At 38.1% G+C, this 13,382-nt stretch overlaps 1 long non-coding RNA gene and 1 pseudogene across 1 annotated transcript in view; both read left to right on the top strand.

Annotated features, from left to right (window-relative positions):
• GLYATL1-AS1 (GLYATL1 antisense RNA 1) overlaps positions 1-13,382 on the top strand; it is a 124,810-nt gene that overhangs the window by 50,095 nt on the left and 61,333 nt on the right. The gene's annotated exons all lie outside the window — the stretch shown is intronic.
• On the top strand, positions 8,659-12,792 carry LOC100287485 (glycine-N-acyltransferase like 2 pseudogene; annotated as a pseudogene).

The raw sequence follows: 13,382 nt of genomic DNA, 5'->3' as shown, positions 1-13,382 counted from the left end.
CACATATCAAAATTATTTTTACCATAAGCTAATTAATATAAAGAAGAGTTAAGTTCCTACAGCATATTTCTGGTGACAAAAACATCACCAAACTTATAAAGAACTGAAGCACTTCTAATATAAAACAATGCAATAAATGTAAGCTGTATATACATTTAAGAAATATTGATACAAACAAGTAAGATAATTATTTACCTGATTTTTGTTGCGTTGATGTGTGATGGTGATCACAGTGGTGGTGAGTTAAATTGAGAAATAAATGTTTGCAAAGCAAAAGGTGTAAGAAGCAACTCTTGTATCTATGAATTTAAAAATCCATCACAAATATGATGGGCTCGCTGAGTCCTTTTGCACAGCATTGTTTATTGTCATGCATTTGTATCATTATCATAGACTTTATGAATTTTTGTTTTATTATGAATGTTTCATTCATTCATTTTTCAACTGCCTTATTGCAGTTCAGCGGAGCAAGTGGCTGAAGCCTATCCTGGTAGCTCAGAGCACAAGGCAGGAACCCACCCTGGACTGGAAACCCTTCCATCCTGGGGACACACGTGCACACACACACATACACACTCTCTCTCTCACACACACACAAACACACTCATCCTGTGAAAATTTAGACATGTCAATATACTAATGTACACATTTTTGAGATGTGAGAGGAAATGGGATTATCCAGAGAAAGTCCACACAGACATGAGGAGGACAGGCAAACTGCACATAGACAGTGGTCCAGCCAGGAACTGTTTTTTTTCTCTTCACCATTATAATGAAAAGATATTGAACAAAATGACATTATTTGATGACCTGCTGTATACCTACATACATACATTTGCATCTGCATCCATCCTAAATTTTTTTGACTTCTCACTGGAAGAAGTATTCTTCCTGTTCAAAACTTAATTTAACAAGTATGCTGATAATTATGGTTGATGATTACATGAATTAGTCAACATAAATAAGCTGAAATAGTGGCTGGCATTTTGTACATAAGGTCATTGAATTTCTGTCACCTTTCTATGTCCTGTTAGACACATTGGCCTATCAATGACTTACATCTTACCTCTTGTAGTTAGTATAGGTATGCTTAACTCTCATCTAATAAGAGAAATGCCTTTCTTTGAGCTCTTGTACCTCTCTTCTTCCCCTTGATACTCTCGTGTTCTTCTTTCTTTTCTGGTCAAGCTCTTTCAAAAAGTTACCTTCACTTCCTCACATTTCATTTAGTCTCCAATCCCCATAATCTGATTTCTTCTCCTGTCCATGTCTCTTACAAAGTCGGTAATCAACTCCTAACTTCAAAATGCACTGCCGCCTTTAGTACTCATCTCTTTTAGCTTCTCAGCAACCTTTGACTGCTTTGGTCACTCTTTCCTTGAAGGTTTCTCTTATTTTGACTTCCAAGGTCATTCTCTTATTTTTCACATTCTTTTTTTTTTTTTTTGCCATGTTTCCGATCTCTTCTACTGGCTCCTTTTCCTCTCGATTTTGTTAAAAAACACCTGATCCAATAGTCACTCTCTTATAATCCTCCATTATAATATATTGAAGAATATATTATATTATATTAGACTATTGCATCATGTTGACCCATAAACCTTCTACTGCCTTGGCACCTTGGAGTGAATTGAAACTAGGTGTCTCTCATTGGTGAGAGCAGAACCAGAGTCCAGCCATGGAGGGAAGCTAACGGTGAAATGGAAGCGGGTGGGAGAGCATATGCTATTGGTAGAGGCAACAGGCCATTTACAACCTTTTTTTAATCCACATTTTTGTGCACCCCCTATAGGTTACATATCCAATATTCATTGCAAAAAAACCTACTATAAAGCATTTTCTTCTGCTTTGAAAGTTTCTGTTAGCAGCCACGTGTTTTCTCAGAAACTTGGCTATGCCAGGAGCAAAGAGACTTAATGCTCAGTCTTTGAGGAAAAGCATTCTAAAAACCACATTTCTAACCTTCACTGACTCTATTTGTTCATTCACTGAACAAAAGCTTATTAATTTTTCCACTATGCTAAGTGCTGAGCTTGATGCTTGAGTCACAATAAAGAGCAAGACATAATATCACTTACCAAGGAGATTACTCTCCTCTGGGGAAATATGCTACCAAAGTCTGCAGAATGCGCAGATTTCTGTGCCATTTTGTTACTGCACCCATGATCTTAGACAGTGACAGAAACAGATGAGCTTGTTCTAGATCTGTGGTTTGCCTCAAAATGTCTATTTTGTGCCAATAGGTTTATTCAAGCAACTTACATATAGTCCATCTTTGAAGCTGCAGTTTTCTTCATTTATGTTTCTGTCCAGTGGAATGGTCACCTTCACTGGATTTAAAGGTTTTTAAAATTTCCTTCAGAACCTTGTATATACACAAATTACCACCATGCTAAACACTTCACACACCTTTTCTGGCAAGGAAATCCTCATGACAACCTACAATGTAGATATTACTATCCCCATTTTATAGATAATGCAACTGAGGCAGAGAGGCTCAAATAATTTGACCTACCTAAGGTGACCCAGATAGCCAGAAGAGGAGCCAGGGGTGGAATTTTGGTTTGTTTGATTCCAAAGCCCATGTTGTTAACCACTTTGCTTCCATTTGTATTGATTTTGGCTATATACTTATGAAGGAGGCCAGCCCCTCCACACCTGTGGGTATTTCTCATCAGGTAGGATAAGAGACTGAGAAAAGAAATAAGACACAGAGACAAAGTACAGAGAAAGAAAAGTGGGCCCGGGGGGCCGGTGCTCAGCATACTGAGGACCCGAACCAGCACCGGTCTCTGAGTTCCCTCAGTATTTATTGATTACTATTTTCACTATCTCAGCAAGGGGAATGTGGCAGGAGAACAGGGTGATAGTGGGGAGAAGGTCAGCAAGAAAACATGTTAGCAAAGAAATCTGTGTCACAAATAAGTTCAAGGGAAGGTACTATGCCTGGATGTGCACGTGGGCCACATGTATGCTTCTCTCCACCCAGACATCTCAGTGGAGTAAAGAGTAATAGAGCAGCATTGCTGCCAGCATGTCTCACCTCCCGACACAGGGGAGTTTTTCTCCTATCTCAGAATAGAACAAATGTACAATCGGGTTTTATACCGAGACATTCAGTTCCCAGGGGCAGGCAGGGGACAGAGGCCTTCCTCTTATCTCAACTGCAAGAGGCCTTCCTCTATGAATCCTTCTTCTGCACAGACTCTTCACGTATGTCGGGCTGGGGGATGGTCCAGTCTTTCCCATTCCACGAGGCCATATCTCAGGCTATCACGTGGGGAGAACCTTGGACAATACCCGGCTTTCCTGGGCAGAGGTCCCTGCGGCTTTCAGCAGTGCATTGTGCCCCTGCTTCCTAGAGAATGGAGAATGGTGATGACTTTTACCCAGCATACTGCCTGTAAACATATTGTTAACAAGGCACATCTTGTACAGCCCTGGATCCCTTAAACCTTGATTCCATACAACACATGTTTCTGTGAGCTCAAGGTTGGGGCTAAAGTTACAGACTAACAGCATCTCAAGGCAAAACAATTGTTCACGGTACAGGTCAAAATGGAGTTTCTTATGTCTTCCTTTTCTACAAAGATACAGTAACAGTCTGATATCTCTTTCTTTTCCCTACATATCCCCCTTTTCTTTTTGACAAAACTGCCATCGTCATTATGGCCCGTTCTCGCTGGTTGCTGCCTCTTTGGAGCTGTTGGATACACCTGTAGACTAACAAGAGACAGAACAGACATACAAGGATTAATATGAAATTTACAATAGTGGAACTTCTGATGGTTTTAACCTAAGTGACGGGGTTAAGCTTTGTGAGGCCATCAGCAGCTTTTACAATTGCCTCAGTTTTTGGCACCAAATTTAAATGGGCTTTTGTTGTCTTAAAAATTTGTTTTTGAAATTTTGAAATATTTAAAGTAAGATTATCTTCTCTTCCTTGTAGATGGCATCTAACTATGTCTCAGTGATGCTCAGACTCATTATAGGCTTGGGGTATAATGCAAAAATCTGATGTATTTTAGTCACACTGTAACTGAAAAAGATATTCCAAGCTCATGAGCCTATCTTCCTTTCAAATGACGGTTTGTCTAAGATCATTAATTTGGTTTGCCAATTTTTTATCTATTTGGGTCTGAGAATTTCACAATTTTGAGGAATTCTTTTGCCAATTATTTACGTATTCTGCAGTTTGAACAGAGGAGTGTAAAGAAATTCCAGCAGCTGCAGCAGTAGCTGTGACTGCAATGGGACCCACAATCACTGCAATCAAAGTAAAAATGAATCCTTTGGATCTAGTTAGAAATCGTTTTAATACTTCTGCTAAAAGATGGACAGATGGGGAAGCCTCCTGCAGTCAGTCCATGGACACAGGGATCTACACGCCCTCTCTTGCCCTCACCAGCAGAATACTGTGCTGCCAATCAAAAGTCGAATCAATGCAAGTAAGCAATCTACAGTTTTTACAGGTTACAATTTGGGAATCTGGTTTAATAAGTATGTTTCCTACAACTAGCATATAAAGGAGTTTTACACAACTTTGCAAAGGAATTGTCAGATTGGAATTTAGGTTAATAGTATAATATGGCCTACGATTTTTTGTTCCTATAGTTTGATTTGCAGACCAAATTCTAATGTGGTGCGAGGCCACAGTAAGCTTTCATCATTCTGGATGTTCAGGACCAGTAACAGGACTAATTAACTTTGGTCGAGGTGAGGAAATTCTCTTTTTACTCCATTTTAATGGATAGGGTGATTTTCACCTTTTATAAACCTGGTCCAGCTTTTTAAATTACTATCATAGGCCAGATTAATGGGCCAGATGGATGGGGCTTGTGAACATGAGTGAGTCTGGCCCATACAATTATAATATAATTGGCCTCGAGGGTCCCAGTCTGTAATAGTTACAAATTCATTGTTTTGTAATATCACCGCAGTATCAGCCACATATTCTTTCCAAACTAAGACTTTTAGGTCTTTTGATTCTTTGGGAATTTTTGGGGGGCAAGCCTTCCCCTTAGGCCTAAATTTTAATGATCTTTGATAAGAAGAATACTGTAAATTATTTATTTGTTGCCCGAGTGACATTCGACTTACCATGTGATAAGTATATCTACTGGTGGCACTGACAGTAGGTACTTCTACCAACCAATTTTGGGTTGTAGGCATTAAGCATCTGGGTGCCTTCCCTAGGCAAGTAGGAGGATAATGATATCCAATGGAAATATTTATCATCATTCCTTCTTTTTGTAGGTTTGGCAGGGCAACGATCATCTGTGGGGCCTGGTACCCATGCACTATTATTAACATATACTTTAGTAGGACTATCTATTCATGTGACTGCCCGAATTAAGGGCAGGAAAGGCACATGGTCCCAGTAAGTATAATAAGTTGCAGCTGCTCCTGAAGACATGGGGAGACTGACCACCATTGATACAGTCATCAAAGCTGCAAGCAGTATATTCTCTGGAGTTCACATTACCCTTGTTTTCTTCAGGCTTTTTCAGTATACTGTGTCAGCTTTTTGAACTGGGCCCAGGTCAGTGGCTCCACTTCCTTGCTGGATGGCAACTTCTTCTGTAAGTTGTAGGTATCTAAACTAGAAGCTGTTTTTTTCCTAGGGAAATACAAGCAATACCTCTCCCCCATGTTATCACCTTTCCTGTTGTTCATGTTTTATTTTTATTATTTTTTCACCAAATCAGTTTTCCTTTATGTGAACTGTCCTTTTTATCAGTAAAATGTTGTTCTGTAGAAGTACTTGTCGGATTTTTCTAAATGTTTAAAAAAATTAAAGTATAGAGTGCTAGATTAAGTTGCATCTGGGGAGTGTTATACTCTTACTGTCTTTTTCTTTTTTTTTGTTTCACCAAGTGTTATACTCTTACTGTCTTTTTCCTTTTTTTGTTTCACCAATTGAGCTTTGAGTGTTCTATTAGTTCTTTCAACTAGTGTCTGTCCTTGGGAATTATAAGGGATTCCTGTTGTATGTGTAATTTTTCACTGATTTAAGAATTTTTGAAATGTTTTACTACAGTATCCTGGCCCATTATCTGTTTTAATTTTTCCTGGAACTCCCATGACAGCAAAACAAGATAATAAACGTCTTTTAACATGGGAAGTACTTTTTCCTGTCTGGCAGGTTGCCCATACAAAATGTGAATAAGTATCAACTGTCACATGGACAAATGACAATTTTCCAAACGACAGTACATGTGTGACATCCATTTGCCATAATGCATTAGGACATAGAACTCTGGGATTAACTCCTACCTCCTGAGTGTGCAGGTTTAGGACTTGACATGGGTCCAGTGTTGTACAATATTTTTTGGCTGTTTTTATGGATATCAATTTTACTTTTTAATCCTGTTGCATTTACATGAGTCAAGGCATGAAGTTCTTATGCTTCTATGAATGCAGATGATACTAGCTAGTCAGCTTGTTCATTTGCTTCAGTTAAAGGCCCTGGTAAATTAATATGTGCTCAAATATGAGTAATATAAAATGGGAAATTTCTTTTTTTTACAGTGTTTTTGTAACAAATTAAACAGCTGGTTTAACTGATCATCAATACTATATTTGATTAGGGCTGTCTCACCATCCTTTGTAGCCTGTACTACATATGCAGAATCTGATACAATGTTAATAGGCTGATTAAAACCTTGTAACACTGAAATGACAGCAACCAACTCTGCTCTTTGAGCTGAGTAATATTGAGTTTCAATGACTCGTTCTTTTGGCCTGATGTAAGCTGCTTTTCCATGGCTGGAACCATCAGTAAACACCATCAGAGCATTCTGTAAATGTTTATGTCTGGTAATTTTAGGTAAAATCCAAGTAGCCAATTTTAAAAACTGGAAGATTTTTGTTTTTGGGTAATGATTGTCAATAATTTCCACAAAATTAGCAAGACCAATCTACCATGAAGCAGAATTGATAAAGGCTTTTCTAACCTGTTTCTTGATTAAAGAAAGAATGATTTTTTCTGGGTCACTTCCACACAATTTTAGTATTCGTAATCTCGCCTGACCAATTAATGTAGCTATTTGATCCCAGTACAATGTAAAAGTATTAATTGTACTGTGAGGAAGGAAGGACCACTCCACAAGACCTGCGTTTTGAACGATAACGGCTGTTGGAGAATGCACAGTAGCAAAAATCAAGCTGGAGTTGGGCCAAGGGATGTATTCTATTTACTTGTGCTCACTGAATTTTTTCTTCAACTAATCCAATTTCTTTAGTTGTCTCTGGAGTTAATGTTCTTTTACTATTCAATTCTGGATCCCCTCTCAAGACAGAGAACAAATTTGACATGGCATAAGTAGGGATGCCTAGAGTTGGCCAAATCCAATTAATATCTCCTAGCAATTTTTGAAAGTCATTTAATGTTTTTAATGTGTCTTTTCTTATTTCTATTTTTTGTGGTTTAATTTTCCTATCCTCTACCTGCACTCTGAAATAATGAAAAGGAGTAGAGGTCTCAATCTTATCAGATGCTATTGTCAGCCCTGTGTTTTAAACCTCTGTTTGCAGAAATGTGTAACAGCCAATTAATTTGTCTCTGGTTTTTGCAGCACACAAAATATCATCAACATAATGAATGATATAATAGTCTGAAAATTTGTCTCTAACTGGTTGAAGAGCTTGAGCTACAAAAGTCTGACAAATAGTTGGACTATTAAGCCTTCCCTGAGGCAACACTTTCCACTGAAACCTGGTGGCTGGTTCTTTATTATTTATGGCTGGTATAGTAAAAGCAAATTTTTCAAAATCCTGTTTTGCCAGAGGAGCGGTAAAAAAGCAATCCTTCAGATGAATTATAATTAAAGGCAAATCTTTGGGGATTATGGCCAGAGAGGGCAACCCAGTTGAGAGAGCCCCCCAGGGGTTGAATTACTGCATTGACAGCTCTTAAGTTGGTCAGCATGCCCCATCGGCTGGAATTTTTATGAATTACAAACACTGGAGAATCTAAGGAAAGAACATTGGTGAAACATGTCCTTTTTACAATAGTTTTTAAACTACTTTATGTAGCGCCCCCAACTATTCCTTAGGGAGCAGCCACTGTTTGACCCAGACGGGATGCTGCAGGGTGAGTCTGAATTGCTCCTTCACCATAGTGAACTGCAGGTTGGGCAATAATGGGTGCCACAAATGAGTCACAGTGAGCCTAGTTTCAGGCTCCCTCCTCCAGCACTCACTCGGCTGAGGAGGAGGTGGCCATCCTGGTTTTAGCCCCAAATGGCCCTGATGGTTCTGGACCTTTTTTTTCTAATTTTAATCTTTCAGGATATATTACCACCTGTAATTGATTGTAGCCAATATTTTGTGTTGACCAAGCCATTAAAGATCTGCTACACATTTACAATGTGAACTTTTCACACATTTCACAATTACAATGTGAAATGGCATGAATTTTTAAAAAATGAATGAATATAAGGGAAGCCAGTTCCTAATGATTCGGGTGTTAACATGGATTTTTGTGGATGCTTATTGGTCCCTTTTGCAACATAACTCTCAATGAGTAGCCCAATGAACCACCTTGGAAGCACTGGCCCCATCCTAAGTCCTCCTAGGCTTCTTGTCCTTATTTCCCATGCCTCATATAAGACTTTACATTGGAGAAAAACTTCATCCCCTACTGTTTTGTTCTGTTGCATTATAGGCATACAGCACCATTTTCAACATAAAACATAAAAACCCATTCAAAATGGAGGTGATGGTAGATGCCTGGACAGATTACCAGATCATCATTACTCAGCCTCAGAACCAGGTAGGAGCAATAGTTACTGAATACCAGGGCAGTCACTCTCCAGACATTCTCTGTGTGGCAATGAGGGAACTGAAACTGAGGAGTGGTGAGAAGAATGTTGACACTGTTGACGTATGCAGGTTTTGGAAGGGCTGTTTGGGAGAGAGGGTAGGGCAGTGAGATAAGGCTTGAACTTAGATCCAGTGATCAATAACCCTGGATGTGTAAATAAAATTAGGATTCCAAGCACTCAGTCTATTCCATCAAAATTCTGATCATAGGACTACATCCCAACCTAGACTTCTATGGCTGAAAGTGATTAAGAAGTGTTTTCACCTGCGAGGACTCTCAAGTGGAAGTGTCATCAGCAGAGGGTAGGCAGACATGTAGAGCCAGACCAAGCTGTCTATTCTAGGTACTATCTGGCTCTGGAATGTTAGTTCTTTCCAAAAGTTTATCTATTCACATGTACTCCAAGAGCCAATCACTGAGCCAGCCTCAGAGTCCTTCCTGGGTTAGGATTAGCTCAGGTGTCACCTTGCCAAAAACCCGGAGCCTTGCCAAACCTGTTTCTTATATTTTTTCCATACCTTAGGCACCTTCTCTTTTAAATCCTTAACATACACCATTTTGGTTACACTTCCCATTCGAGACAATGGAGCTATTTACTCACCCTCTCAAGGGCAGCTCACTTTAGTGCCCTAAAAGAAAGACACTATCTTCAGTGTATAAATAGTGAGTTATTCTTGGAGCGACTGCAAGGCCATTTTCTACACCTATCTTAGAAAAACAGAATGTTTCAAACAAGTTAATCTCTAGTATTCTAGGCCTATGCAAGAGTATTTTGTAATTGTAGGGCTATGTATGATATTTGTTGTATCTGGAGATAAAAAATGACTGGGATCATTACACCAACTCTTACCACATCTTCACCAAAGCTCCTGACAACTTAGAGGAGGTCACGCTCCGAGGTTATCAACTGGGAGCAAACTTTCCAGATCCAATCTAACTAGTCTGAGTTAAAAGAAAAGATGCGTGGTTTATTCCTAGCTGATATGGAAGGTATAAAGCAGTACCTGTCTTTCTCCTCTCTCCAGGTTGACAGGAGGGCTTGGATGAAGCAATAAGAAAGGTTGCAACTTCAAAATCAGTGCAGGTAGATTACATGAAAACCATGCTCTTTATACCGGAATTACCAAAGAAACACAAGACTGCAAGTAATGACAATATGGGGTTATTTAAAATGGGTGATGATAAGAAGTGAGATTTTACGTTTTACTTCCCAAATTCCTTGATAGAATTATTGAGTTGCCACAAAGGCTGTACTTGGAAGTGTAGAATTTGAGACTAAATTATGATGGGCTACAAAATTGCATGGGTAAAGAAAGGGCGTCACGTTAGGAACTGTGTGCTGAGCATGAACAGAGCCTTCATTAGACAAGGTCTTTATGCATATTATTTCACTTAGAGCTCACAAGAGTCCTTCGGAGAGGGCAATGGACATCATGGTGGCATCAAAAAATGTTTACTGAAACTATTTATATCTTACAAAATGCTACATGCTTATAGAAAGTATATAAGCATACAAAATGAAAAATAAAATCTGTCCTCTTGGGTTCCCCTGCTAGGTGTAAATAATTTTGACACTGATATGTATGCTTTTAGTACTCCATATGAGTTATGTATTTATTTTTGCAATATGTACACATAATTTACGGCACTTTCTGAAATGAATATCATCATAAATAGATTATTGAACAGTTGTATAAATATTTCTGAAAGATGAATTACCAGAATTAAAACTGTTGAGTCAAAGACTATGCATAATAAATGAATGATATTTCTAAACTGGATGGTAAGATTTTCATAAATTTAATGTGTGATATCATAACTTATGAAACAACCTAAACATCCAGTAATGGGGAAATAGAAAAAATCATTATGGTACATTAAAACATTAGAATACTATGAAGCCATTACAAAGAATGAAGCAGCTCTACATGACAGATTAGAAAATATTTCCAAAATAGTTTGCTATGTAAAAAAACATGAGGTGGATAGAACAATGTATATAGTATGCTACCATTTGTGAAAATAAACAAATGTATGTACATATCTAAAATTGCATAGATTTATGGGAAACTTGTACAAAATATATTGGTATTAGTGGTTGCTTCTAGAGAAAGTAATTGGGTAATAGGAGATCAGAGAAAGAAGAGAGATTTGCTTTCCTCTAGTAATCCATTTATGCTTAATAATTTTGTTACTAATTGAAAAAATAAATAGAATTTAAACACACATTCACAGATATGTTTGATTTAGCCAGAAAAGTTAACAGTCTTCAAATACTGCTTTGCCCCACCAGTGTTCCCATGAGATTGTTAAGGGGAACATATACACAGGGAACAATGATAAATGGGGATTAAATTATATTTAGTAGTATAACTCTGGAAGTCTGGCATGAAGTACCTGCCCTAAGGTGATTCCTCTAAGCCTACGCATGGATATCTTTATATCTTGCCATTCTAGGTTTGGCTATCCACAGGAGAGGGGTGCAGGAAAGCGTACTTGAGATCTTTCAGGAAGCAAGCCCAGGATCAGGTTAGGCATGGAAGTGAGCAAAAACAAAGCATCACCCATAGAAAACTTAGCGTTCTGTTACCCACCCACTGGCAAACATGAAGTGACTCTGAAACTGACAAACTTCTCAAAAGTCTTCCTCCCTGGAGAGGGGCAAAAATTCCTGGAGATCTTCTCTCTTTCACTATTTCCATATTTACAGAGGATATTACTATAATTTTACAAACAAGAAAACTGAGTCTTACATAACTTTTCCAAAAGAAAATAATCAGGATTAGAATCCCAAAGGTTAGTACCAAAAATTTAGTATTCTTTTTCCTATATTGCAGCTTCTTAAACTGCGTTTCTGGGTATGTGATGACAGGCTTTGGGACACATGAAGATGTAAGATCAGCATTGTTCTCATCTTCCTGTAAAATATGTTTGATTGGAATATCTGTTCAACGAATTACTATCTTGTATATTTAGATATTTTGTGGAGTAGAACTCAAAATGCACATGATTTCATACACGCATCTTTCAAGTAAATTCAGCCACGTGGAGGGCTTCTCTGGTCTATATCCTCACTCTTTTAAAGACGTGTTCATTTTCTTCCTTAGGATACTTAACGGGACATTTTGAGATGTCCTATAACATATCATATTATCTGTCTGCTATTAAATACACCATAAAACACGGTGTTCCCCCACCAATTATTTGGAAACATTTTGAAGCAGGAATAGAAAAGGTAGTTGTAATACAGCTATTGCCTCCTCTAGGCTGTAGGATCCTTAAGGAAAGGAATGGTGTTATTGGAATTTCAGTGTTTGATAATATTGGCTGAATAAAGGTAATTTTTTTTTTCTTCATAGGGAAGGAAACTTTTCAAACATGTTCTTAGGTGTTTCACATGCAGGTCTTGTAAATGAACACTGGGCCTTTGGGAAAAATGAGAGGAGCTTTAAATATATTGAACGCTGCATCCAGGATTTTCTAGGATTTGGTGTGCTGGGTCCAGAGGCACAGCTTGTCTCTTGGCTTGTGATGGGACAGTCCAGTGAGTTGAGAATGGGTTATACTGTCCCCAAACACAGAAACCAAGGCAACATGTCGCAAATTGGTTATCATCTTGAAAGTTATCTTTCTCAGAAAGAAATCCCATTTTATGCTCATGCGGCAGATAATAGTGAGAAAATCCTACAGGCACTGAAAAATGTTGGGTTTAAGATTTGACCTTGTGGCTGGCATCAGTGGAAATGCATCCCCAAGAAATATTGTTGATTAGTTCCACTGTCCATTTCAAATCTTATCAGTAGAAAATCATTAATTCAAACACAAATATGATGATGTACATTAGCACAAAAGACACCTGATTATCCAGGATCTGGGTATTATTTAAGCTCACCCTTAACATTTTTACCCTCCTCTTCCTCTGTATTCTTACAGAAAATTAGAAGCTCAATCCTATGGTCTCATAATTTCATTTATGGTGACAGACATCTCAGAATTAAAATCACCCAATGCCAATCATTAGTGTCAAGATAACCCTTTATAGCAACACTTTCTTAAATGAAGATGACTTCTTTGATGAAAAAAATTGCTTTTTATTCTGAGTACCCTCTGAGGAGCTTTGAGATGCTCAGCTAAATTAAATTTTGTGGCTAGGAGTGAAAATTTGGTTTTCTTACTTGCTTTTTATCACAAGGGGTTGCTAGGTTGAGTTGCAAATTTAAAGCTTAACTTTAAATTTTCAAGATGATTCTTATGTCTATGATGTATTAGTTTTCTTTTGTCATTATAACAAATTATGATAAATATGATTACTTAAAGCAACACAATGTGTTATATTTATGGCAGTCGGAAGTTCAGAATAGGATTTATGGGGCTAAAACCGACATGTTGGCAGGGCCAGCTCTTTCTGGAGGCAATGTGGGTAAATCAGCTCCCTTGCCTTTTCCAGATCATAGAGGCTGTCCTCACTCCTTAGCTTGGGTCTCTGAATCACATCATGTTTTATCTCTCTGCTTTCATCATCATCGCATCACATTCTTCTCTTCTGCACTCACAT

Source organism: Homo sapiens, chromosome 11 (assembly GCF_000001405.40).
Source record: "Homo sapiens chromosome 11, GRCh38.p14 Primary Assembly".
Lineage (NCBI taxonomy): Eukaryota > Metazoa > Chordata > Mammalia > Primates > Hominidae > Homo > Homo sapiens.
The sequence above is the reverse complement of the archived record's forward strand: the minus strand, read 5'-3'. Positions and strand labels throughout refer to the sequence as shown.